This window comes from Homo sapiens, chromosome 11, assembly GCF_000001405.40.
Source record: "Homo sapiens chromosome 11, GRCh38.p14 Primary Assembly".
Lineage (NCBI taxonomy): Eukaryota > Metazoa > Chordata > Mammalia > Primates > Hominidae > Homo > Homo sapiens.
In genome coordinates, this window is record NC_000011.10 from 19,594,156 (window position 1) to 19,620,653 (window position 26,498).

General features: G+C 45.8%; 1 protein-coding gene across 11 annotated transcripts in view, besides 2 other annotated features; it reads left to right on the top strand.

Moving 5' to 3' along the window:
- Positions 1 to 26,498, top strand: part of NAV2 (neuron navigator 2) — a 776,366-nt gene that overhangs the window by 248,920 nt on the left and 500,948 nt on the right. The gene's annotated exons all lie outside the window — the stretch shown is intronic.
- Positions 13,872 to 14,041: an enhancer, noted in NCBI's record as "experimental_19823 CRE fragment used in MPRA reporter constructs". NCBI's record gives its function as "activates a minimal promoter by MPRAs in K562 erythroleukemia cells, with activity observed for both the introgressed and non-introgressed 11:19629658 or rs1487212 variant alleles {active_cell/tissue: K562}" and the evidence as "EXISTENCE:reporter gene assay evidence [ECO:0000049][PMID:34662402]".
- Position 13,957: a transcriptional cis regulatory region, noted in NCBI's record as "Neanderthal adaptively introgressed variant 11:19629658 (GRCh37/hg19 assembly coordinates) or rs1487212 in the experimental_19823 CRE". NCBI's record gives its function as "modulates activity of the experimental_19823 enhancer by MPRAs in K562 erythroleukemia cells {active_cell/tissue: K562}" and the evidence as "EXISTENCE:reporter gene assay evidence [ECO:0000049][PMID:34662402]".

Genomic DNA, 26,498 nt, shown 5'->3' on the forward strand with positions numbered 1-26,498 from the left:
CTTGGTTGCATGGTGGGGCTGTTGGAGATAAGGAAGAGGAGCTGAAAGTGAAGGCCAGCAATGAGTAGAGGGACTTCGTACCAGGTCATCGGCCCATTTACCAGGTTGAGGAGTTGAGGCTCAAGCACTAGAACAGATTTCTATCTGTCTGTGTCATTAAGTTTCTGTAAGTTTCACTAAGTCTTTGAAAATTGTGTCTCTTTTCAACCGCATCCTACCTTTCTCCTGTGCTGCAAGGTTTGATGGTAGCTGGCTGGTTTCTACTTCGGGGACTTTTTTTTTTTTTTTTAAAGAAGGGATTTCTCCTGTGTCTTCTGTATCCAGGGCACATAGAAGCAGGCTGCTGCTGCTGCTGCTGTCATGGAAAGCACAGTAACGAGTCAGGATATGAGTTGTCGGTCCCAACATGGTAGTGAATAGTGCAGGAATTGAGTGCAAATAATTTCCCTGGGCTTTCCATCTCCATATCTGTAAAATGGGAGTGACCACAGTAGCTGGCTGGCAGAGTGATTGTATAGATTAAATAGAGAGGAGAGGTGGAGAACAGGGGCATTGGTAACACTCATGGGTTCAGAGTGGAACTCTTTCCTTTCTAGCTATGTAAACCTGAGCAGCGTGCTTAACTTTGCTAAGCCTCAGTTTTCTTATCTGAAAAATGGGGACAATCACAGTTCCTACTTTGTGGACTTGGTGTGAGGATTAAATGAGATATTGCACATAAAGCACTTGCAAAGATCCTCTCTCAAGATGAACGTGATTAGTAATAACTAACATCTATCAAGCACTTACTTTGTGTCAGAATCTGCTTAAGTTCATCAAAATTAAGATTAGACACCAAGACAAGGACTTAGGTGCAAGTTTATATGGGAGGGGATCCCAGGAAGCGATGTGAGAGAACAGGGAAGTGAGATGGGGAGGAGTCATTTTGGTGGGCAATGGGGGCTCAGTCCCACTGGACATCCTCTTAGAGACTGAGAAACACACCTCAGAATCTCCACTGCTGTGTTTATCCACCATCTTCCAGTCCTTATTGGTGGAGGGTCACTCCTGGGGCATTCATTCCACCACACCTTTGACCTGCCCTGTCCTTGGGCTAAGCATGTAACCATGACCAGGGAGCATCCTCAGGAGAAAGACTCAGGAAGGCATTGGCACATACAAGGAACTGAACTATCTGTATGGGGCTTTGAGATTGGCTGAGGGGAAATTGATGAATGCTAGCAGTGTCTGCTACACCACTTTAAGCACTTTATAATATTAACTCATTTACTTCATGCAACAACACTATGAAATGTTCTATTATTATCCCCATTTTATAGATGAGGAAACTGAGACACAGAGGGGTTTTACAACTTGATCAAGGTTCTCCAGTCAGTCTGATTTCAGAGCCTGCATTCTTTTTTTATTTTTATTTTTTGAGACAGGATCTCACTCTGTTGCCCAGGCTGGAGTGCAATGGCACGATCATGACTCACTGTAGCCTCAACCACCCAAGCTCAAGTGATTCTCCCACCTCAGAGCCTCCCGAGTAGCTGGGACCACAGACACACCACCATGAAGGCTAATTAAAAAAAAAAAATTTTTTTTTTAGTGATGGGGTCTCACTATGTTGCCCAGGCTGGTCTCAAACATCTGGACTTAAGCAGTCCCCCTGCCTTGGTCTCCCAAAGTGCTGGGATTACAGGCATAAGCCACCATGCCTGGCCAGAGCCTGCATTCTTTCGAGAAGTTTTGACCATAATTCTCAGTAAAAAATGTATTTTATATCACAATTCCGCTCCCAAACACACTTACACTAAATAAATAAAAGATTCCTAAAACAATACTCATCTGTACCACGTGCAGTGCACTCTGAAATTTTCTGTTTTTTTTATTAATCACGTTATTTTAAAAATGGTATTAGTCACCCACTAAATTGTTTTCATAACCCAGTAATGGGCTGCAACCCACGGTTTTGGAAAAGACAGTGCTCTAAAATTCTATTTTATAGGACAATGTTGATGTCATAAGGCTGGCATGGGGAATGATATGGGGTAGGTGCCCAGGGAAGGCTGGTTTCCTTGTGTGCCCTTTCTGGCAAACCAGAGCCTATGAGCTGCTACCTTCTAGGCTTGCATACAGAGGCCTGGCTGAACCTAGCACATTTCTTAAATCCTAGACTTGCCCTAGTGGAATCTGCTCAGCCTCCTCCCTGGGGATGGGCACCATCTTGGGCTGTGACCTTCAATTCACCGGCTCCCCAGAAGCCAGCTCCTCCTTGGGAGGTGAGGTTATACCCTGTCCCCACAACGTTGTCATTTCCTTCCCCTGAGTCTCTCTGTGTGAGGATTGTTCCCCTAATCAGGATGGAGACGCAGTTCATTACAAGCTGGTGAGGCAACGGCTCTGTGCTCCAGGCCCGAGACAGGCTGTCTGGGAGCTTGGCCAGCCTCCCACTGCCCCGGACACCAGGGCAGTGGCCTCAGAGCAGAACCAGCTCGCTGGGTTTGTCTGCCCCCTTCCCAAGGGACACAGGCAGACAGACACTGTTTGCTGAGACTTCCACAGCTTTCATTATTACAAAACCTCTGCCATGCTCAGACAATGAGTTTCAGCAAATGATGGCACTACTTCCGAGAGCATCTGTAGAGCACCTAGAATAACAACTGGACTTTATTGAGTGTTTACCATGCACCAAGCCCTGGGCTAAACACTTCATCTGCAGGCTGTTCGTCTTTACGGCAAACCCAGTAGGTAGGTATAACTATCCCCACTCTGCAGATGCAGAAACGGAGGCACAGAATGTTTTGGTAGCTAAACAAGCTCACCAGGAGGCTAGAAGGTGGCCACACCTAGCTGGCCCCCCTGACTCCACCAACTGCCTCCCTTTGCTGTATTGCATGCAAGAATGTGACTCCAAGTTTTTCCTTCCTTCTGGATCCAACTCTGGCTTCACTCTGCTCAGCAACCAGGTGAGTTTCCATAGGTGACTTTGTCTCTCTGAGCCAAGTTTCCTTATCTGTAAAACAGGGCCTAGTGGTACTTCCTTCCTCAGGCTGTTAGGAAGAGTAAATGAAATAATGTATATAAATGCATCTCCCAGAGCTCCTAACACATAAGAAGTGCTCAATAAATCTATTTATGAAAGAGTTGATTCAGCTGTTTTCCTACTGACTTGACAGTATCCCACAGCCATTTCCCAGAGGCATGATGTCACCATCCAGAGGATAATAGCAGCCAATCTAGAAACCTCCATGTGTTCCTGGGCTTCTCATATTTATGCCTTGTCTTGCCTCGCTGCCCCATCTTACTACTGACTTCCCTGGGGCAGAAATCTCCAATATGACTAATATCTCTTGGAGGGCTATGAAGAAGCCATTTATTTCCTCCAACAACAGTCCCTTCCACCCAGGATGAGGAGAATAGCCATGTGGTGGCTGCAGAGCCTGGTGCAGAAATTCTCATTAGCTGCAGTTTAATTACTGCCTGCCGTATAGGTTTTTAATAACAGTAAGTCCCAATTAGTTGCTTGTTACTTCAGAAATAATTACTGATAGTGGACCTTTGTCTCTGTTTTAATTCCAGCTTCATGCCCAAGCTGCGGAAGTCTAAACAAGTGGGCATTTTTAGCTGAAGGAGGTGGGGAGGATCGGGGATGCGTGAGGAATGTCTGCACAGAACTGCGAGTTTCACTGGGGTGCGTGTGTTTGTCTGAGATGAGTGGAGGAATGGCCGTGGCCATTTCTCACCTCTGTAAAGAAAATCCTGGGCCCCTGTCTTGAGCTAAGGACAGGGATGGGGCCCTGCTCTCAAGGGCAGGTGGGTCTGGGACATAGCATTCTCTGCACAGAGAGACCACGGGGCAGCTGGCCTCCAGTTATGACCCATGCCAATGGCATGCCCTTCTGCTGCCCTGGGGGGCCAGGCCCCAGCCACTGACCAGCTCAGAGGCAGATGCCGCCGCCCCCTGACAGTGACAGGCACAGCCAGATGGAAGAGCGGCTTTTGGGAGCAGGGAGAGGGGAGGGAGTGTGCCGTCTCTTCTGCAAGGGCAGTGCCCCAGCCTCAGCCACACTTCTGATCTGCAGTCCAACAGACCTTTCTAGCATGCCAAAGAGAACCTGGGGGTGCCAGGGGGTCCTCAGAGCTCACACTGCACTTGTGGCACCCACAGCGAGTAGCCATCCGTGAGCCGAGGAAACTGTACACAGGTAAGACGGTCACTGTGCTTTGTTTGAAGTAAGGTAGTTTCCTAGCTTCAGGGAATTCTTTTTCAGTCTGACCTGCTTTTATGCTGCTTTGTCTTTTTAACTTTTATCCTATTGTACCTGGGAAGCTATTGTAGTGCTGATGAGTTATTGTCTGCTGAAGTTATGTAGTGATCAGAGCTAACATGTGCTGGGCATGCCAGACCCTCTTCTAGGTGATGTATATGTATTTATTCATTTAACCTCAGACAATGCTCTGAGGTTAATATAATTATTACTATCAGCCCTCATTTGCAGATGAGGAAATGGAAGCACACAGAAAGATTAAGGAATTTGCCCGAGGTCACCCAGCCCATATGTGGCAGAGCTAGGGAGATTCTCTCCCAGGGAGTTTGACTCCACCACCAAGCTTTTGACCAGTAGGTTATCCGGCCTCTTATGGGAAGGACTTGACCCATTAGAGAATGGGATGCTTCACAATGCAAATATCCCCCGTGATTTTTCTTTAGTTGGCTCTGCATAATACGTTCTTTTATGGCCTGTGTGTGTGTGTGTGCATTTGGTGATCCTTGTGTTGATTTTTGGTTCCAACTGTGTTCTCTGAAAGCTTCCCCCCATTTGAAATGTCTGGGTCCAGTCAAATGCCTCTGTTCTTAGTGTTTGTGCAGTTTCCATGATGGATGAAATGGCAGGGGCACTTCTGAGCCCAGCCTAGGACTGTGGCCCAGGCCACCCACGTTTGGAGGTGACAAAGCCCTCTGTGCCATCATGCTGGCCAGCGTTGGTCCTTTTCAATGTGTCCTCATGCCCAACTTGTCTTTCTCTCTTTCCTCATGCCCAACTTGTCAAGGGAAGATGTCACACTGCTGAGCCAGTAATTTGCTTTTTTTCTCACCATGTTCTTTGGTTTCTTTCCCCCTGAGAATCCTTTCCAGTGGAATTGCAAATGGTTTGGCTGGAAAAACCTGCTGAAAATCCATCCTTTTTCATGTTTTCCTTCTTACCTCCTGTTCATTTCATCCATCCGGCCAACCTGCGAGGTTGTCTTATTGTTAATAATCTGGGCTACTCTGTGTTTGGAGGTTCATTTGGAAAATTGTGTCCAGCAGGCAGAAATGCTCCACTTCATCTCAGACACAAAGGCGTTCTTTGAAGGTACAAAGGGTTTAGTATTAAATAAGTAAGCAAACAAGCCTGGCCTTTGAGGAGAGAAGTGTGGAAGGGGTAGGGAGAAAACGAAAACTGCCTCATCAAACTGTACCTTGGTTTATTTAGACAAGGGGAGCTTATTTGTGTTTATTTTATGCTCACATCCTAAGGTTTCAAGGAATGCTTCTGTAATCTACTCCAGAGGCATCAGGGCTCTTGCCAGAATCCCTTGATGGCCAATCTTTTTGAAGTGTCAGGTGAAATGTGGGTGAAGGGGCTATTCTGTTTGAGAAACAGCATGAGGGAGGGCTGATCCATTTTTCTAGTTACTGGGAACGTTTCCCTTCACTACGAGGGCTGATGCTCTTCTCCTGGCAGTATCTGCCCAGAAAAATCTCAAGCCTCAATGGGTATATCTCTTCCTTTTCTCTCTCTCCAAACTGAATTGCATCCGTGTCTTAGTTTGGATCCTCCAACACAGACTGTGAAGTAAGTATTTCAGTACAAGTAGTTTATTTGGGAAGTGATTCCAGGAAGCACTGTGAGGGAGTGGGGAGTGAGACAGCGAGGAGAAAGCCAATAAAAGGTGTGCTAATGGGTGGGTTACTATAATGGGCAGCTGGGCTCAATCCCACAGGGGCCCTCTGAAGGACTATGTTGGACCTACCTCAGAATTGTCCCATGGAGGAACAAAGAAGCTGGGGTGTTTATGCACCAACTCATCTGCCTCATTGGGTGTGGTTTTCTCCTGGGATATGAGAACCCCAGCACTTCTGGCCTGCCCTGTTTGATGCACAAGAATCTCTCAGAGACAGGATGTCCCTAGGTGAGGGACATGCCTACTGTCTGTGAATGACCTCCAGGCTAAGCCAAGGGAACATGACAGGTTGTCAACAGCATCTGCTAAAGCAACCAACTGCTCTAACATTGTGTGCACTGGATAAAATTATAACAGTTGCCAATATTTACCTATAACCTCTAGCCAGTTACATGTGTATTAATCTTACTGATCCCCCAAAACTTTTGAGGAGGGGCTGCTGTCATCATCTACAGTACAGCATTGTGGCTAAGAACATGGACTCTGGAGCCAGAATAACTGGGTTCAAATCTCACCTCTTCTGCTGGGTAGTTGTGTGATTTGGGCGGGTTTCTTAGCTTCCTTGAGCCTCAATTTCTATAGCTGCGAAATGGGGATAACAATAGTAACTACTTTGTAGTATTGTTTTTGAAGATCAAATAAGTTAATACACATAAAAGCAATTATAATAGTAGGCATATACTAGGTGTTCAATAAACACTAGCTGGTGTTATCCTACAGATGAAGAAATTGAAGCTCAAGGAGGTTCTTAGCTGAAGGTTTTATAGCCAGCAAATGGTAGAGGCAAGATCTTAACTCAGGCTTTCTGCAGCAGCATCACTTTTTCTACTATACCATGTGACTTTGTAATCATTAATACATGAGAAAGCACTTTCTAAACTGTAAAGTGCTCCACAGAAGCTTTGTTTATATACTATTTCTCCTCCTTGGAACAGCAGATACAGTCTTGTTCTCTCAAGAGCTTCAGCCTGGTCTTTGAATTCTGCTATCTGTCATCTCTGTACACCTGGCACTGGGCACAGTGTCTGGATGGGTGTCAGCTAGGTGGATGAGTTACCCAAAGCCTAGGACTGGCCCAGTGATCCCTTCCTTCAGAGCTCCTGCCTGCAAACTTCTGCTCAAAGTCAGGCCCTATCTCTATCACATACCCCAATTGCTGCTGCTTCCTCCTCCCTACTGCCCCTACACCCTACTTGGAACATCCTCCCTTTTCCACCCTGCCTTCTGCCTGGTCCAGTGATCATCTCCCACACCCCACTTCTACAATTTCTCCTTCCCTTGCCTCCGCAGTGGCCCTCCGGCCTCCCCTCCTGGACTCAGAGCAGCCCTCTACTTGGTCCTTTTTGGATGGTGCTCTTGGGTATGTGTGTCAGTCTGGGCTTCCTACCCTGACCATAAGTTTCTTGTGGGCATAACTGAGTGGCATTTTTTCCTTTATTCATTTATTTATCCATTGTGGTCCCAGACATGGTACCCCATCTGGTAATGGGGAAATGGGAACAGGCAGAACAAGATTGATTCTTGGTTGAAGAGCTCAGTTTGGGGGAAAACTGGCATGCAAACATTGCTATCGGTGACAGTGAATCTTGGTGGGGACACAGAGCTGAGGTGCCCAGAGACTAGGATCTTCTCTCTCCATGCGATGGGGTCAGAGATGAAGTGACACTAAAGCTCAGTTGTTAGCTTAGGGATGATTTGGTTGCAAGGAAAATAAACTTGCTCAAGCCAGGTTATGGAAAAGTGGGAGTGGGAATCTTTTAGAAACAAAGAGCAGGAACTTCTCCTCTAGGAACTAGAAAATCATCAGGGCATATGATGTCTGTCCTGCTCCTCTCTGCATGGCTTCCTTTCTGCACACAATCCTACACTGCCCAGCTCTGAGCCTAGATGACCTGCCCCACCAGGGCCCCATGGTCCTGTTGTCCCAGTTTCGAGTCCCTGTGACACTCTGATTGGCCCAGCTTGGGCTAAGTGTTCATCCCCAGTCCAATCAGCTTTGGCCAGGAAATCGGGGACATCAAGTATGAAAAGGATGCACAATCCCCCAGTAGGGGTGGGAGGCAAGGAGTGCATCTCTACAAGTCTTTTTTTTTTTTTTTTTTTTTTGAGATGGAGTCTCGCTCTGTTGCCCAGGCTGGAATGCAGCGGCGTGACCTCAGCTCACCACAACCTCCGCCTCCCGAGTTCAGGCTATTTTCCTGCCTCAGCCTCCCGAGTAGCTGAGACTGCAGGTGCACACCACCATGCCCGGCTAATTTTTGTATTTTTAGTAGAGATGGGGTTTCACTATGTTGGCCAGGCTGGTCTTGAGCTCCTGACCTCATGATCTTCCTGCTTCGGCCTCCCAAAGTGCTGGGATGACAGGCATGAGCTACCGCACCCAGCCACTTCTCTGCAAGTCTTGAAGGGAGAGTATATTAGTTTCCTGGGGCTGCCATAACAAGTTACCACAAACTTGGTGACTTAAGACAACAGAAATTTATTCTCTCACAGTTCTGGAGGTCAGAAATATAAAAATCAAGGCGTGGGCAGAGCCATGCTTTCTTGGCAGACTCTAGAGGAAAGTCCTTCCTTGCCTCTTCCAGCTCTGGTGGCTCCAGGCGTCTCGTGGCTGTGACAGCATCACTCCAATCTCTGCCTCTGTTTTCGCCTGGCCCCCTCCTCTGTATCTTCTCCCCTTCTCTTCTCTTCTGAGGACATTTGTTATTGGATTTAGGGGCCACCCTAATCTAGGATAATCTCATCTATACCATTAACTTTATACCTGCAAAGATCCTTTTTCCAAATGTGGTTGTTTCTATGGATTCCAGGTGGACATATCATTTAGCGGACCACCATTCGACCCACTACAGTGAGAGTCTGAAAGATGGAGAAAGGGAGGAAGGGCATTCTAAGTTGAGGGAACAGCATGAGCAAAGGATCATTACTCAGGGAGCAATGACACATTTCTGCTCCGTGGGCAGAGGGTTCACTGATGGCAACAGAGAGGGCTGAGGTTACGTAGGACCAGACCACAAAAGGACTTCCATGTCACGTAGTAGCTTTGCCTTGTGGGCAGCAGGGAGGTCCACTGGTGGTTCTCGAGTGACAGAGGAGCATTATAGAATTTAAAATTTGTATTGTAAGCAGATCCTTCTGGCTGCAGCATGGAGCTGTATTAGAGGGGGACAGAAATGGAGGGAGGGAGATATTCACAGTTATAAACACCCACTATGTGCCAGGCATGTTTCTAGAGACTAGAAATAGAGCAAAAGAGGGCCAGGCACAGTGGCTTATGTTTGTAATCCCAGCACTTTGGGAGGCCAAGGCAGGTGGATCACGAGGTCAGGAGATTAAGACAATCCTGGCTAACACAGTGAAATGCCATCTCTACTAAACTTACAAAAAATTACCCTGGCATGGTGGCATGCGCCTGTAGTCCCAGCTACTTGGGAGGCAGAGGCAGGAGGATCGCTTGGACCCGGGAGGCGGAGGTTGCAGTGAGCCAAGATTGCGCCACTGCACTGCACTCCAGCCTGGGCAACAGAGCCAGACTCCATCTCAAAAAAAAAAAAAAAAAAGAAAAAAGAAAAGAAACAGAGCAAAAGAGAAAAGGGACTGGGCTGCTGCTATATTAGAGCAGCATATCTAAAGCAGGGAGAGAGGAAAAAAAGCAGAGGAACAAAGATGTATAACATTAACTGGTAATAAGAACTCAAAAGGAAAATCAAGCAAAGAAAGGGGTATAGTGAGTGATGGAAGGTTTTATATAGGAGGTTCAAGACGGCCTTTCTGATGAAGTGACATTTGAGTAGAGCCTGAAGGAAGGGAGGGAGGGAGCTATAAGGGTTCTGAGGGAAGAGTGTTCTGGGCAGAGGGAATGGCATGTGCAAAGGCCCTGAGGCAGAAGCATGCTGGGCATGTTCAAGGAACAGCAAGGAAGAGCGTGTGGCTGGGGGAGAGGGAGCAAGGGGAAGAGAAGTAGGCAGTAGCATCAGAGAGGCAGTGGGCTGTATCACATAGGACTTTCTAGGGCCCAGTAGAACTTTGGCTTTTACTGTGAGTGAGATAGGGGGCTTTGGAGGGTTTTAAGCAGAGGAGAAACATCGTGTGACTTAAACGTTTTTAAAGAGTTACTCTAGAGGCTGTGAGAAGAAGAGATTGTGGGCTGGAGGTGAGGGTAGGAGGAGGCTACTGCAACAGTTAGGATGAAAGTTGACAGTGGCTTGGACTGGGGGGGCATCGGTGGTGTGTTTAAACGTGGCCAGGTGCTAAATATATGCTCAAATTAGAGTTGATAGGATTTATTAATGGATGGTGTATAGAGTGTGAAAAAGAGGAGTCAAAAATGACTCCAAGCATTGGGGTCCGAGCAACAGGAAGGATGGAGTTGTCATTTATGGGGTTGGGGAACTGCAAGAGGACTGGGCTGGAGCAGCTAGGATTGAGAGTTTGGGGACATATTAGATATTGGTGGCTTGGGATGCATTAAATCGTTGAATCTTGCTTTGTGCCAGGCAATGCTCTAACTACCTCATGGCTATTAACTCCTGTGACACTTGTAGCAGCCTCATGAGATGGGCACTTTTATCCCTCTATTTTACAGGTGAAGAAACTAAGGCACTGAAGTTGGTTGATATGGTTTGGCTATGTCCCCATCCAAATCTCATCTTGAATTGTAGCTCCTGCAATTCCCATGTGTCGTGAGAGGAACCTGGTCTGGGATTGAATTATGGGGGCGGGTCTTTCCTGCACTTTCTTATGATAGTGAATGAATCTCATGAGATCTAATGGTTTTAAAAATGGGACTTTCCCTGCACAAGCTCTCTCTTTGCCTGCTGCCATCCATGTAAGACATGACTTGCTCCTCCTTGCCTTCTGCCATGATTGTAAGGCCTCCCCAGCCATGTGGAACTGTAAGTCCATTAAACCCATTTTTCTTCCCTGTCTTGGGTGTGTCTTTATCAGCAGCATGAAAATGGACTAATACATTGGTTAACTTACCCAAGGCCTCCAGTTGGTGAATTGCAGAGCTAGGATTGAGCCCACACAGCCTTTGTCCAGGGCTCATGTTCTAACTACTACATTGGACTGCTGCCTGTTTTTTGAAAGGTCCAGGGGAGGAGTTGGGGCAAGGGATATTTACTTAGGAAAGAAAAAATACCCACAGCTGGTTCTGATGTGCCTCCATCCAGCTGCCCCTTCAACCCTCAAACTCATCTAGATCTTTTGGTTTTGGGGGAGAAGCACTTAGTTGTCTGGCCCAGCACCACTTAAGATCCTCTCCCAAGGAGAGTAAAGGAAGATGGACTCCTCTGCACTGATCCTAAGTGTATTTACCGTTTCCTCTTGTCTGTGAAATGCAAGCTTTATTTCTATCTATTTTAAAAACATATACTGCAGGAAAATAATGGCTTAGTGGAAATGTTTAAGTTTCTGGGCCCCAAACAATTTCTAAATATTATTTAAAAAAAAAAAAAAAAGAAAGTCATGAAAAGCTGCATAAGCTCTACTTAGCTGAGACCTGTGCAAGGGAGCATGTGAGGATGGAAGGGTTAGCGGGGAGGAGGGTAGACACAGGCCTCCACAAAGCCTTCCTGGCATAGGCAGCCGCACTGCCTCCTGGACCTCATTTGTTTGCCTAGAAAGGACTCTTTCTCAATGCAGACTTTTTCTAAGGGCTTCTAGCAAGCTCCCTGCAAAATGGGTCATTTCTTTTCATCAGATTTGGGATTTGGAAGGTCCTGGTATTCCAGGCCCCAGACAGGATTTGGGCGTGGGTTGTGTTGTTTCCCTGGGACATCCTATTAATATGCAACCAATGCAACCCGCTGCTCATCGATGAGGAGATGAGGAGAGAGGGATAGTGGATTACTCCAAGAAATCCAGGGGCCTGTGGAATCATACCGTTTCAGACGGAGGCAAAGATTAATCGGGATTAGTGAGGGGTCTGCATTCAAGACTGGTTTTGAACTATATAATTTTATCTGTTTGAGTTCCACTTAAGTGCTCAGAATTACTCAGAGGCAGTTAAGCAGAGATCCCTAGGGAGAGCTTGCTTTATTGCAGTTAGGAATAATCTGTGACTGGCTTCTTGGCAGCAAAAGCCAAACTCCTTTGTTTGGCTGTGAAGACTCTGCAAAGCCTGAGCCTACTTACTGGTTTGTTATTTCAAAGTGTATTGGATATTGGATACTATTACATGCCAGGTAATTTGCTGGATGCTTTCACATATGTTGCTTTATTTAACCTTCACCCTAATCCTGGGGCTTAAATGTTACACTACTCATTTATAGATAAAGAAACTGAGGCTCAGAGGTGTCAGCTTGCCCCAGGTGTTAAAGCTGATGAGAGTAAGAGCTTTGACTCAGTGTCCAGTGCTCCTCGCTGACCTCACTTCTCCATTTTCCACTTTTTTCTCCCTTAACCGTCCTCTCCTCACCTGCCCCTCCCAACTGCTTCAGCTAAACTCTGCCCAGTCCCAGCTCCTTGCCTTTCCTCTTGCTGTTGTTCCAAGCAGGCACTCAATGTTAGTCTCATCCAAATCTCCAAGCCCTGTCCTATTCCCTGTTAATTCTTCAAAGTGCCCACAGAGGGGGACCTCAAAGGTCACTTGGAAGTGGAAGCACTCTAAATTACCTCTGCCAAGAGATATGACACCCAGAACATCATGGAAGCAGACAGAAGAGTCTCCTACAAGACCCTCATCTTGTTTCTGTATTATCCTTTATTTTTTATTGTTTTAGCCTGTTATCAAGCTAATTGCAATCCCAAAGGCAGGCCACCAGCATGGCCTTACCTGAGATCTTAGAAATGCAGAGGCTCAGGCCCCACCCCAGATCCATTGACTCACAATCTGCATTTTAACAGGATCTCCAAGTGATTCTCCAACACTTTGAAGTTGGAGATGCATTGCTCCAGCTGGCATGCACCTTCCACACCGTATGGGCCAGCTCCCAGGCCAGGGAAGGAAAAGAAGGGTCTGCTTACAGCTGGGCTCTAATCGGACTTGCAGAGCAGGCCGGTAACCACACTGGTTACAGGGCCGCTCTCAGTTTGTGTCCCTGGAGAGTTTGAAGAAGTTGCAGTGGAGATGGCTCCTACCATCCTTTCCAGTTGGATCTTCAGCTCTTACTCTGCATAGGCCCATGGGGGTGGCTATCACCCTCAATCCTGACTTCTTTCTCAGATCTTCCACTGTCTGCCTTTGAAACGGGGAGCCCTCTTGGCCCAGAGGAAAGCCAGGATGATTGGTCTCTAGCTGCCCTGTTCTTGCTCTGCTAGGCCTGGGGACCAGCTCTGTTCCACCTTGCCATCATGAGCTCTGGGGAAGGCAGCCCACTGGTGAGCAGAAGAGGCACTGCCTTTCTAAGTGGAGCTAGGATAGCTGTCATCTGAGGTTGCAGCTGGAAGATGGGCCAGTTCTACTTAAATGTTGTCTGACTGCTACTTAACCCAACACTGCAGGCTTCCTGCCACATCAGCTGATTGTACCCCTTGCCCCAAAGGAAGGAGTAAGCAGTTACTTCTTGCACACTGTCTCCACTCATGGCTCAGCTCTTTTCCTTGTCAGTCTTGGAGTCTCTAATGAAAGGGTATGGCTGGACTGAGAATACTTTTGAGGGACAGGGAAGTAAACAGACTCATGGAGCAGGATTTGAGATGGGAACTCAGATTACAGACTTCATAATCACAGCTTGGAAGAGAAGCGTCGTGTGTAAAGGGAACCAAGAAGAAAAGGTACATCATGTCCTTTCGAAACATTTCAGCAAAGATTCTTCAAACAAGATAACTGACCACAGAACCCTAGTCTTGCTTCTTTATTATTCTTACTATTATGCTAGATCAGGAGGCTAAATGCAATCCCAAGAGCTACTGTGTATTGATGGCTTACTTTGATCCAGGGACTGTGCTGTGCACATCAATGCATTATCTCAGTGCAAAACCAGAACCTCCCCCAATTCTCCCATTTTACAGCTGAAGAAAAAACAATAACAACCCTGGTTACCCATCAATAGCAGGCAGTTTTCAAATTCATCTCTGGCCTCAAAGACTTCTCTGCACCACCACGCTCTGCATTCCAGCAGAGCAAATGAGAGGCTTGGGGACTGTTCAGAGCTCTGTTGTTCAAATAAACAGAACTCATGCTTTCACTGCACGAACATAGGTGTGTTCATAAGTGGTAAGATGTTGTTCAGACCACTGCCTCCTTCCTAGGATGTCAGATCCCTTCATCTGCCATCATGTCCTCTCTTATGCTATGTCCAGATGCCAGCTGAAGCCCAGCAGATGCCACTATGAAAAGAAAGCACAAGAAAAGCAAATACACTGCCTTGCAGTGCTTATTAGTGCATGAACACAATGATACCCGTGATGTTTTTCAGAGGAAGGGGCTTGCAGCCCAAGTCCACTTCGGGATGTGAACTTATCTCCACACAAAGTTTCAATTGAAATGACAGTGTTTATTTATTTTGTGGAAACTTGTCCTGTGTCAACCATGATCTGGAGGAGAAAAGATAGCCATATGCCATATGGGCAAGTCCCACACACTCACACACAAGTACTCCCATAAAACCTAGTTGTACTGACATTAGGAAACGGAAATACTCCTGTAAGAAACAGGATTTCCTTCCCTTTCTTTTGGAGCCAGCTCTATTGGTTCCCTGTTGCTACTGTAACAAATTACCACTAACTCTGTGGCTTGAAACAATGCAAATTAATGACTTTCTGGAGGTCCGAGTTGAAAATCTAGGTGTCAGCAGGGCTGCATTCCTCCTGGAGGCTCTAGAGGGAGAATCAATTTCCTTGTCTTCCCCAGTTTCTAGAGGCTGCCCACACTGCTTGGCTGGCCCCCAGCTGCAATCACTGGCATCACTGTGACCTCTGCTTTCATGGTCTCATTTCCTTCTCTCATTCTTCTGCCTTCTTCTCCCATCTTTAAGGTCCCTTGTGATTACACTGGGCCCACCTGAATAATCCAAGATCATCTCCCTATTTTAAGATCCTTAATTTAATCACATCTGCAAAATTACTTTTGTCATAAATGTACCTATTCACAGGTTGAGGGGATTGGGTCGCAGACATCTCTAGATGGCACGATTCTGCCTAGTACACCAGTACAGGCATTTTTGAAAGCAGATAACACTGTGAGCTGTGTTAATTAAAGATAAGCTGCAGGCATATTTTAGCCATTTATCTTACTACTAAAAGGACAGTAACCAATTCCAAATATAAAAATTGAAACAAAAATTGAAATTGAGAGTTGCAAATTGAGAAAGAGAGGAAAGAGGGGAGGGAGAAAAAGAGAATACAAAATATATCAAGAATGAGTCTGTAGAAACACAATGAACACCTTCTGCAGAGGGGAGAGAGAGAGGTAGAGAGGGAAGAAGAGCAGGTGAAGGGAGGGTGAAGGTAAGGAAAAGTATTACAGGTGAGGGAATAGCATGGGCAAAGGTCTAAAGGCAAGATGGAGCCATCACCAGTTCATTCATCCTGGCGCTGCAGTTGGTGGTTTGTAGGTTAGTCTTTCCTGGAGACACTAAGTGCCTTGAAGACAGGAATCATGTGTACCCCAAGGGCTAAGCAGAGACTAACCACTGCATGCCTCACCCAGCCTTAACTGCGGAGGGAGGGGGTTATTACCATTAAATATCTAGAATCAATTGAACAAATGATTATTGGCCATGCAAGCCTCTGTGTTCTCAAAGGTTCTACTCTACACTCAAAGCTTGAGAGGAAGGTAGAAAGAGTTGCTCAGTGGGTCCATATTGGCTCTAGTGCCAAGACTGGACCTCTGTTTAAGTCATGCGTCACTGAAATCTACCAGTAATAACAGCTAACTATAACTGAGCCCTTACTATATGCAGAAGTCAACTAATCCTCTCAACAGTTTTGCAGGCTAGGAACAAGTATAATCCCAATTTTACAATGAGAACACTAAGCTAGGGGCTCTCCATCAGATGCCCAAAACCAGGACTGATAGGTGCTAATTGAAGGGCTGCCATTCCTCGAGCAGAAAGAATGTTAGAAAGAGCCATTTGACAGCAATCATATCCCCAGGCTCATGGGTGGGGGTGACAGAGAATGGTTGAACTCTCAGTTTGGGAGCTCAGCTCAGTTCCTGAAATAAATCCCCTCCTTATTTCATCTGCATTAGTTCAATTCAATCATTTTTTTTCTTTTATGTTTCAACTTGATTCCAAAAAAGGATTTGAGGAGGCTTAAAATATATAAGTTAACAAAAGATAATAACCTATATTTGGATGAGGAAGTCAGAATAAAGAGGAAAATAAAGGGATGGGGAAATCAGATTTTGCCTAAGGCAGTGGGTGCCACGGGCTCATTCATGCTACATAGATGTGGGCTACAGTTGCAGCTCTGAGCTTTCTATACAATGAATTCCCTTTGAAGTCTCAGAAATCTCTTACTGCTTTATAATGCAGGTATAAGCAGAAACAACTTTTCACAGGTAACATGCATCAGAGCTTGAAGAGCTTTGTCACAGCCTGTTGATATCCAGTTCTCAAATGACCATCAGTCTTAGGGAGGAAGTCTAGAGGTCAATCAGCTTCAGAGCAGCAGAATGTGGGCACTTGTTCCATTTCCAGCAAATGGATGGATGGATAAGTAGATGGATGGATGGATGGATGGATAAGTGGATGGATGGATGGATGGATGGATGGAGCAGTGGGTGGATGGATAAGTGGATGGACAGATGGATGGATGGATGGGGCAGTGGATGGATGGATGGATGGATGGAGGTGGATGAATTGGTGGGTGGGTGGATGGATGCATTCATAAGACCCCAGGCCTACTTGCCTAAATGCCTGTATGCTTAGCACCTCCTCGTCTTTCTCCAGGCTCAGCCCAGCCCCTTCCTGGGTGAGAGGGACTGTATTAGTCTGTTTTCATGCTGCTGATAAAGACATACCCAAGACTGGGAAGAAAAAGAGGTTTAATTGGACTTACAGTTCCACATGGCTAGGGAAGCCTCAGCATCATGGTGGAAGGTGAAATGTGCTTCTTACATGGTGGCAGCAAGAGAGAATGAGGAAGAAGCAAAAGCAGAAACCCCTGATAAACCCATCAGATCTCGTGAGACTTATTCACTATCATGAGAATAGCATGGGAAAGACTGGCCCCATGATTCAATTACCTCCCCCTGGGTCCCTCCCACAACACGTGGGAATTCTGGGAGATACATTTCAAGTTGAGATTTTGATGGGGACACAGCCAAACCATATCATTCCACCCCTGGCCCCTTCAAATCTCATGTCCTCACATTTCAAGAAACTAATCATTCCTTCCCGACAGTCCCCCAAAGTCTTATTTCAGCATTAACCCAACAGTCCACAATCCAACATCTCATCTGAGACAAGGCAAGTCCCTTCTGCCTATGAGCCTGTAAAATCAAAAGCAAGCTAGTGACTTCCTAGATACAATGGGGGTACAGGTATTGGGTAAATACAGTCATTCCAAATGGGAGAAATTGGCCAAAATTAAGGGGTTACCCATGCAAGTCCAAAATCCAGTGGGGCAGTCAAATTTTAAAGCTCCAAAATGATCTTTTCTGACTCCAGGTCTCACATCCAGGTCACTCTGATGCAAGAGGTGGGTTCCCATGGTCTTGGGCAGCTCCACCCCTGTGGCTTTGCAGAGTACAGCCTCCCTCCCAGCTGCTTTCACAGGCTGACGTTGAGTGTCTGTGGCTTTTCTAGGCACATGCTGCAAGCTGTCAGTCGATCTACCATTCTGGGGTCTGGAGAATGGTGGCCCTCTTCTCACAGCTACACTAGGCAGTGCCCCAGTAAGGACTCTGTGTGGGGGATCCCACCCATATTTTCCTTCTGTACTGCCCTAGCAGAGGTTCTCCATGAGGGCACTGCCCCTGCAGCAAACTTTTGCCTAGACATCCAGGCATTTCCATACATCTTCTGAAATCTAGACGGATGTTCCCAAACCTCAATTATTGACTTCTATGCACCCACAGGCTCAACACTACATGGAAGCTGCCAAGGCTTGGAGCTTCCACCCTCTGAAGCCATGGCCCAAGCTCTACATTGGCCCCTTTCAGCCATGGCTGGAGCAGCTGGAACACAGGGTGCCAAGTCCCTAGGCTGCACACAGCACAGGAACCCTGGGCCTGGCCCATGAGAGCATTTTTTCCTCCTGGGCCTCTGGGCCTGTGATGGGAGGGCCTGCAGTGAAAGTCTCTGACATGGCCTGGAGACATTTTCCCCATGGTCTTGGGGATTAACATTAGTCTCCTTGCTGCTTATCCAAATTTCTGCAGCCAGCTTGAATCTCTCCCCAGACAGTGGGTTTTTCTTTTCTATCACATAGTCAGGCTGCAAATTTTCCAAACTTTTATGCTCTGCTTCCCTTATAAAAAGGAATGCCTTTAACAGTACCCAAGTCACCTCTTGAATGCTTTGCTGCTTAGAAATTTCTTCCGCCAGATACCCTAAATCATCTCTCTCAAGTTCAAAGTTCCACGAATCTCTAGGGCAGGGGTAAAATGCCACCAGCCTCTTTACTAAAACATAACAAGAGTTGCCTTTACTTCAGTTCCCAACAAGTTCCTCATCTCCATCTTAGACCACCTCAGCCTGGACCTTATTGTCCATATGGCTATCAGCATTTTGGGCAAAACCATTCAACAAGTCTCTAGAAGGTTCCAAACTTCCCCACATTTTCCTGTCTTCTGAGACCTCCAAACTGTTTGAACCTCTGCCTGTTACCAAGTTCCAAAGTCGCTTCCACCTTATCAGGTGTCTTTTCAGCAACACCCCATTCTACTGGTACCAATTTACTGTATTAGTCTGTTTTCACATTGCTGATAAAGACATACCTGAAACTGGGAAGAAAAAGAGGTTTAATTGGACTTATAGTTCCATATGGGTGGGGAGGCCTCAGAATCATCCCGGAAGGCAAAAGGTGCTTCTTAAATGGCAGTGGCAAGAGAGAATGAGGAAGAAGCAAAAGCAGAAACCCCTGATAAACCCATCAGATCTCGTGAGCCTTATTCACTGTCACAAGAAGAGCATGGGAAAGACCGGCCCCCATGATTTCAATTACCCCGCCCCCGCCGTGGGTCTCTCCCACAACACTTGGGAATTCTGGGAGATGCAATTCAAGTGGAGATTTTGGTGGGGACACAGCCAAATCACACCAGGGACCCAGCTGGCAAATTTCCACAACTGACTAGGGTCTACCCTGTGTTTGAGCTGAGGATATGGAGGGGATGTGAGGCGTTAGGGAAAAAAAAATCATGTTTTTGTCTTGCTTTTATTATCATTCTAAATATGCTTTCCTGTTTCCTTTCCCTACCACCACCACTGCATCAGGCAGGCCTTGGGTATGGACAGATCTCCCAGGAGGGGCTGTCCTTGGCACCCCAGGCTGGAAAGGTCCTGTGTTTGCTAGGTGGTTGAGGAAGCAGCCATCTCATGCCCTAATCAGACTGTTGAAATGATGTCTTGATGATGTTGGAGGGGGTCTGAGCTGTTTGGGGGATCTGAACTTGGCTTCTATGGCCAATCCTCTCCAGGACTTGCAGGGGTTGCTACAACTCTCCCAACCTAGGTTTCACTGAGTCTAAAACAACTTTTCATCGTGGGCAAGAACCAAGCGGCCAGAGTTGGAATCCGCTTTTAACTAGCTATATGACCTTCGGCAAGTTAGTTTACCTGTCTGTGCCCCAGTTTCATCCATAATAATGTTACTTAGCTCAAAGGTTTCAAGGAGGATTATATGACATAATTCATGTGAAGTGCTTACTACAATGCCTAACCAATTGTAAGCAACTCAGTAAATGTAAAATGGATAAAACCTAAATTGCCTCATCTACCTCACAGGTTTGCTGTAAAATGCATGTGAGTTATTTATTCATGCAATAAATAATTTTTTAGCACTTTCTATATGCCCAACCTGATAATAGGGCTGAAGGGTGAGCTTCCTTCCTTCAGGGCCCCTTTCATGAAAAAGCTTTCAGAACTGCAGGGTGCTGTACAGATAAAGAGGGTTGTGGTCTTACCCTTGGTGGAGTCTCTGGTGCAGAAGGCCTTAAAACAAGGCTGGCAGCACAACTTTCTTAAAATGAAGTTGATGTGGAAGCCCAGTCGATAAAGCAAATAAAATCTGGTGGGGGTTGAAGAGGAGATGAGGCAGGGGGCTGGGTCCTGCTGGCTGTGTTCTTCTCCACTCCAGCCTAGTTCCGCGAGACACCTCCTGGAAACCCCTTGGCTGCTCAGGACAGAGATAAAATCCTCAGATGCAGTGGTAGCGTGTGCCTTTCTTTTGGCTCCACCCCACCCTTTCTCCCTTTCTCTCTCTCTCTCTCTTTAATTAATAAATTTTATTGTATAGAGTAGTTTTAGGTTTACAGCAAAATTGAGCAGAAGTACAGAGAATTCCCATGTAGCCCCTGGCCCTGCACATATAGCATCCTCTGCTATCAATATCGCACCAGTGTGTGGTGCAGTTGTTACACTCAATGAACCTACATTGACATATCATGGTTATCACCCAATGTCCATAGTTCACATTAGGGATCACTCTTGGTGTCCTGCTGTCTTTTCAACACACACATCTGGCCACTGGAGGACAGAGGGACCCAGCTCTATGGGCCAGTGGCATAGGTCATGCTGGTGGAGGCGTTTTCTCTGTAGCTGTGGTTTTCCTGTTCTGCTCAGGGCCTCTGTCAGGAATTTCCCCTAGAACTCTATAGAGTGAATGGTCATGCCCTCCAGGTCACCGTAAGGATTATGATGAGGACTTCCTTTCTTTAATCCCTATGTGCCTTCTGTTTTCTGGATCTTTTCCTTAAAGACCTCTCTAGCCACCATAAACTTTCATTTTTACTACCCAACATGGTACTCTTCTTTGTGACTTCTGTCCCACCCCCAGTGCTATTACTTCATGCTCAAAATTATGCCCAAGAGAGGGGTCATGATGGAGTCAACAGATGGCTGCCTGCCCCAAACTGAAGGAAGCTCAGAATGGGTACTTTATACCTATTGCCTGAGAGTCTGGGCTCACTAGTGCCTACTCACCTACTCAGGCTGACTTCCAACAATAACAAATATGTATATTAAATATACAGATGTATATATAATATACTAAAATATGTAAAAATATACTGTATATATCATACATATGATATATATATAATGACCAGAGTTTTTCACACTTAAATGGATTTATGTTCATATTCAAACTCCTCTATTTACTAATGGTTTGACTTAAAACTTGCTGAACTCCTCTGAGCCTCTATTTCCTTATTTGTAAAATGGGGATAATAATAGTATGTCCTCATATGGTTGTTGTAAAAGCCAAGTAAGTTATACGTAATGTCTTAGGCAATGTCTAACAGAGTGCCTCACCACTGTTTTGCGTTTATTATTGTTACTAAAAATGCATTTCGTATATGTATATATACATATACACCCATATACACATATATAAAATGCATTTTTAGTAACAATAATAAATGCAAAACAGTGGCTAGGCGCTCAGTGCTAGACATTCATTATATACATATACACATATATGAAATGCATTTTTAGTAATAATATTTCTGAGCCATAATGAATCAGCTCTAAAAGGGGAAGCATTGAAGATGGCGATGAAATGATTCATGTCCCCTTATTACCAGAGGAATTGTGAGCTTAATCGTAGCAGCCTCCATTTATTGAGAGCGTGTGATGTGCTAGCACCCTGCTCCTGCTTCAAATTCTCATTACACTGAATCTTAGCAAAGCAACCACATAGGGTAGGCTTGTTTTATTTTTCAGAAAACTGAAGCAGTAAGCCCATCAGCTCCGTCTGAGTCCACTGTTGGGGGGATCCTGACCTGTAGCCAGCCCCTACCCCTAACCCTGTAAGCAGAGCGCTGCCTCCCCATCATCATGCTCTCAGAGCTGTTTGTTTTCATGATGTCCACTTTATCTGACAGCCCACACACAGCCACACAGCTCAGGGGCATTGCTCCAGGGTGCAGAATTTTTACAAGCAGCACACAGTGGAAACATTCACGGGGTTTTTTTTTTCTTTCCTTTTTTCCAAAATAGAGCCCCGTAGACTGTATGAATGTGTATTCACATTTAGGCCTACATGTCCTTCTTGGAGTCCAGAAGTCCAGGGCACACCATGCTGAGTATTTCTGTGTTTGTAATTTAATGTGGGCCCACCTCTCATTATCAGTGTTCAGAGATAACCATTTTTGCTTCTGACTGTGTGTGTGTGTGTGTGTGTGTGTGTGTGTGCGCGCGCATGATCTGTGGCTCTCTGGGCTGGCCTCCCCTATGTGTGTGTATTGCAGCCTGTTTGTAAGCCTGGGTATATGCCCGCCTTTCTCCCAAGGGTGTCCATAGACACACATAAACTATCCTTCACTTCTGTTGTTGAGACTCTCCTAGGACACTTTGCTCCCGCGGAGCAGGGAGAGTTGGGAGAGGGAATGTTTAGTCTGGAAGGCAGTCAGGCAGGCAGCTGGAGACTCCCTGTGGAGCACCCAGGCTGGCGAGCTGGCCCCCAGGGTTGCTCCACGTGCCCTGATGATGGGGAGGACAGGGCTGTCCTGCATGCCCTGAGACCAAGGAGCACAATGCTTCTGCTTGGGTGACACTAGGCCTAGGATGGCTCCTCTGGCATAAGTGGTGAGAGGGCTCTCAGCAAACCCCAGCCCTATCAAGATGGGTTCCTTTTTCCTTTTCCTGGTTCTTTTCAGTCCTCAGAATAGGTTTTTATGCTGAATTGAGGCTGAGGGGTTAGCATAGAGATGTAGAAAGAGCATGAGGCTTTGGTGTCAGGCAGACCTAAGATAGAATTCTGCCTTTGCCATGTACTCATCATTTAATACTAAGACAGGGAAAATTACTTACCCTCTGAGCCGCAGTCTCCTCATCTATAACATGGGTCTCATAACGTTACATTGCAGGCTCATTTGGGGGCCTAAATGATAAAATCTGTGTCAAGTACCTAGCTTGTTCTCTCCTTTTTTCCCCTATTTTCTCCCTAGAAGTCTAGGTAATACAGATTTCTGACTGGAGCAGCAGGGCAACACCACATGTTTCTTTTCTTTCTAGGAAAAGGGCTATTTATTTCTGATGACCTAGTTGAGAGGCAGCAGGGTCAGGGAAAGGATGTATCTTTGAAAATGGTTTCTTTTAGCTTCCTATAACTTGAGGGTAATTTCTCATGCCCTAGTTAGGTGGGTGTTAGGAGGACATCTTAGGAGGATGTTGGCAGCTGGAGTAGGGGTAGGTTGGAATTCTGCAGAAAGCATACACCTTCCTTCCCAACAGGTTTATAAGCCAGTAATCAGCCCTCTGTGGGTATATCAGCTATTAACTGTCTGGTAATGGGGGGATAACAGGCTGCTTGCTGCTCTGCTTTGAGGATTCTGTACTAAAGAGGACAGACACAGGCCTGCCTTCAAGGGACTTCCACTCTCATGGAGAGAGACACATGAATCAAGAAAATCCACATTAGCTAATTTCCAGGCAGTAAGTGCTATGAAGAAGATTAAATATGGTAGGTGTGATAAGAAGTGCATGGTAAAGTGTGAGGGTACCACTTAGGTAAGGTGGTCCCAGGAATGGCCTCCCTGAGGAGACAGTTTTGGTTGAAACCTGAATGAAAAGAAGCAGTACAACAATGATCTGGGAGGGAGGACTTTTCACCTTCTCCTACCCCTGCATTCAGATTACAAATCCATGTCCTTATGGTGGCTAAGTCCCTACACAATCTGACTTCCTCTCCTATCACTCCCCTCAGGCCATGCTGCTCCAGTCACAATGGCACACACCCACTTCAGGGCCTTTGCACTTGCCACTTGCAGAACCCAGAACCCTCTTCCTACAGATATCCCCATGACTCACTCACTCTCTCCTTCAAGACTTGCCTAAAACTCCCCCATGGGCTCTGGATTCTCCATTACTTTACGCTATTTTTCCCTTAGTCATCATCTTCTCACATACTCCGTAATTTACTTACCTACTGTTTGTTGTCTTTCATTCCTCCCTAGACTATAAGACCCATAAGGCAGATATTTTTGTCTGATTTTATTCTTTGATGTAAATAAATACCTAGAATGGTGCCTCAAACATAGTAGGTCCTTCAATATTTGTTGCATGGATGGATGGATGGATAGATGGATGGATGGATGGATTGCTGGCTGGCTGGCTGGGTGGCTGGATGGATCAATGGATGGATTGCTGGCTGGATGGATTGCTGGATGGATAGATGAACAGACGGATGGATGGATTGCTTGATGGATTGCTGGATGGATGGATGGATGGATGGATGGATGGATGGATGGATGAATAGATGGATGGATGGATGGATGGATGGATGGATGGATGGACGGATGGGTGGATGGATGGATGGGTAGCTGAATGGCTATATGGCTGTCTGGATAGATGGATGGATGGATGGATGGATGGATGGATGGATGGATGGATGGATGGGTCCCTGGTGACTCAAGGCTCATCCTTGTCATCAGGAGAAGCAATGGGAACAGTCTGAGTCTCTACCATGGGCCTAGCCCTGTGCTAAGCTGTGGTGGTGGGGAGCCATAGATTTGACATGCAGATGGGGCCAGACAAAGAAAAATCAGCTGAAAAATCTAGAGTCAGGTTGGGGACGTGAGGGCTCTGAGGGGAGATATATGGGTGCTTCTAAGAACCATAGGAAATCTAAGAAGGAAAGATTGGGGAGGGGGTACAGGGAAAGAGATAAGTGGAGTAAGAAGGAAGATGGCCTCTCTGGGACCCAGAGAAGAGAGACCCACTTTGGCTAGAGCTAAGGGGCAGGGATGGCAGGAAAGAGTAAACCTCCCCCCACCCCATGACAGGCCCTGGTGTGTGGTGTTCCCCACCCTGTGTCCAAGTGTTCTCATTGTTCAATTCCCACCTATGAGTGAGAACATGCGGTGTTTGGTTTTCTGTCCTTGTGATAGTTTGCTCAGAATGATGGTTTCAATCTTCATCCATGTCCCTACAAAGGACATGAACTCATCCTGTGTTATGGCTGCATAGTATTCCATGGTATATATGTGCCACATTTTCTTAATCCAGTCTATCATTGATGGGCATTTGGGTTGGTTCCAAGTCTTTGCTATTGCGAATAGTGCTGCAATAAACATACGTGTGCATGTGTCTGTATAGCAGCATGATTTATAATCCTTTGGGTATATAACCCAGTAATGAGAAAGCTGGGTCAAGTGGTATTTCTAGTTCTAGATCCTTGAGGAATCACCACACTGACTTCCACAATGGTTGAACTAGTTTACAGTCCCACCAACAGTGTAAAAGTGTTCCTATTTCTCCACATCCTCTCCAGCACCTGTTGTTTCCTGACTTTTTGATGATCACCATTCTAACTGGTGTGAGATGGTATCTCATTGTGGTTTTGATTTGCATTTCTCTGATGGCCAGTGATGATGAGCATTTTTTCACGTGTCTGTTGGCTGCATAAATGTCTTCTTTTAAGAAGTGTCTGTTCATATCCTTCGCCCACTTTTTGATGGGGTTGTTTGAATTTTTCTTATAAATCTGTTTGAGTTCTTTGTAGATTCTGGATATTAGTCCTTTGTCAGATGGGTATATTGCAAAAATGTTCTCCCATTCTGTAGGTTGCCTGTTCACTCTGATGGTAGTTTCTTTTGCTGTGCAGAAGCTCTTTAGTTTAATTAGACCCCATTTGTCAATTTTGTCTTTTGTTGCCATTGCTTTTGGTGTTTTAGTCATGAAGTCCTTGCCCACGCCTATGTCCTGAATGGTATTGCCTAGGTTTTCTTCTAGGGTTTTTATGGTTTTAGGTCTAACATGTAAGTCTTTAATCCATCTTAAATTAATTTTTGTATAAGGTGTAAGGAAGGGATCCAGTTTCAGCTTTCTACATATGGCTAGCCAGTTTTCCCAGCACCATTTATTAAATAGGGATCCTTTCCCCATTTCTTGTTTTTGTCAGGTTTGTCAAAGATCAGATAGTTGTAGATGTGTGATATTATTTCTGAGGGCTCTGTTCTGTTCCATTGATCTATATCTCTGTTTTGGTACCAGTACCATGCTGTTTTGGTTACTGTAGCCTTGTAGTATAGTTTGAAGTCAGGTAGCATGATGCCTCCAGCTTTGTTCTTTTGGCTTAGGATTGACTTGGCAATGTGGGCTCTTTTTTGGTTCCATATGAACTTTAAAGTAGTTTTTTCCAATTCTGTGAAAAAAGTCATTGGTAGCTTGATGGGGATGGCATTGAATCTATAAATTACCTTGGGAAGAATGGCCATTTTCATGATATTGATTCTTCCTATCCGTGAGCATGGATTGTTCTTCCATTTGTTTGTGTCCTCTTTTATTTCATTGAGCAGTGGTTTGTAGTTCTCCTTGAAGAGGTCCTTCACATCCCTTGTAAGTTGGATTCCTAGGTATTTTATTCTCTTTGAAGCAATTGTGAATGGGCATTCACTCATGATTTGGCCCTCTGTTTGTCTGTTGTTGGTGTATAGGAATGCTTGTGATTTTTGCACATTGATTTTGTATCCTGAGACTTTGCTGAAGTTGCTTATCAGCTTAACGAGA